At 43.2% G+C, this 1,723-nt stretch overlaps 1 annotated feature.

The window, feature by feature from the left end:
- Positions 1,287–1,487: a silencer, noted in NCBI's record as "peak1639 fragment used in MPRA reporter construct". NCBI's record gives its function as "represses an SCP1 promoter by STARR-seq MPRAs in K562 erythroleukemia cells {active_cell/tissue: K562}" and the evidence as "EXISTENCE:reporter gene assay evidence [ECO:0000049][PMID:32103011]".

Here is a 1,723-nt window from a genome sequence, read left to right as displayed (position 1 = left end):
AGCAGATCTAGGTGAAAAATGCACTGCACAAGGTGTCAGAGGACCTGGGTTCCAGTCCTAGGTCTGTCACCATTGTTCCAATTGTGTCACCGTGGGCAAGTTACTTAACCTCTCCGGTTGGGCTTCAGTTTCCTTCTCTGTAAACTGAGAGCATTGGACTACATCTTCTCCAGCTCTTCTGTTTTCCAAGGATTCCTATTCAAATGCCTACAACAATCATTCTCAACATAAGGGAATTTTGTGCCCCCCAGCCAAAGGACATTTGGAAATGTCACACTGATTGTCACAACAGAGGAGAAGGTGCTACTGGCATCTGCTGAGCACAGGCTAGGGATACTGCTAGACATCCCAAAATCCACAGGACAGCCTCTCCACAACAAAGAATTATCCAGCCCAAAATGTCAACAGTATGGAAGTTTGAAAACACTAACTGAAGGGACAATATAATGATGAGCCCATTTCAGCCAATCATAAATCTTTTGGCTTTTTAAGAGAACTTGAAATTTTGGATTTTTATGTAAATATCCCAAATTTAAAGTATAGCAACATGTCAATTTTTTAAATAAAACACGCTAGGGGCCAAACAAAACAGGGCTTCAGGACAAATCCTGTCTGCAGGCTGTCAGTTTGTGGAATCTTATTTAGCCACATACCGTCCAAGTAATTAATGTAATTTCGCTGAAAGCATGGATTCCTCCATCTGCATCTGGTTATCTGAGCTAGAGCTAAGCGGGTCAAGGTTAATCCACATTGTGCTCACGCACATGTGTGCAATGTAGTGGAAAAAACACTAAATGAAACAACCAGAGATGTTACTGCTTACCATCTGTGTAATCCTGGATTAGAAGCCATTAAATTCTCTGAATAACAGGGTCTCCATTTTTAAGGAGGTTCCCTATCAATATCGTCACTGTCTACTTCTCCAGTTTGTCACAGCATAATAGTATCTTGGAGCAGGAAGAGGCTTTAGAAATCACCCAGTATGCAATTATACCCAGAGAAGTGGTGTGACTTTGCCTACAAGCCCATGGTCAGTTAATAGAAGACCTGGGCTTGAAAGCAAGGTGTCTTGACTCCGTGTCCCAAGTTCTCTGAAGAGAAAAGAAGGAAGGTGATGGGGGAAGAGTGCCAGATGTGTCTCTCAACATAGGCTATTCCAGATGTGGTCCACCAGCACGTGGCCTTCCAGTTGTGCCTGAATAACACCAGATGTGATCCAAGGATTAAATGTGAAGGGATGTGAAAGTGCTCTGGAGCCTGTAAACTGTTAGCCTGTCTCCCAAACGTAAGGATGGTGTTAGTATTAATTTGTCTCTGCTGTATGGCCACAGGCAGCTCTTGGCCAACAGCAGTGTGAGTGCCTGGTGGTACTGGTCATAAGAAGGCCTGAGTCACAGCACGTGGCTGGCTCAGCACACAGTTTACTCATAGAAAACCAGGCAAAAGCAGATCAGTAACATCACTATGGCTGCTGAAAGGCAGTGTTGTCACAATGCCATGAAGACAAAAAGTTAAGTTGCCATTATTAATTAACATGAGATAATGGCATTAAAAGATAAATCTTCAAGGTCAACCAAGGTTTATAGACATCAAAATCTCTGCACTCCTGCCCTGTCTTCTCTAAGTATCTTCTATACTTTCCTGCTTGAGACTTTTGTTTTCCCTCCATGTGCTGGGTGTCTTACCCCCTTTCCTCTGCTTATCTAAAAGCCTCCATCTCTCA

Source organism: Homo sapiens, chromosome 12 (genome assembly GCF_000001405.40).
Source record: "Homo sapiens chromosome 12, GRCh38.p14 Primary Assembly".
Lineage (NCBI taxonomy): Eukaryota > Metazoa > Chordata > Mammalia > Primates > Hominidae > Homo > Homo sapiens.
The sequence above is the reverse complement of the archived record's forward strand: the minus strand, read 5'-3'. Positions and strand labels throughout refer to the sequence as shown.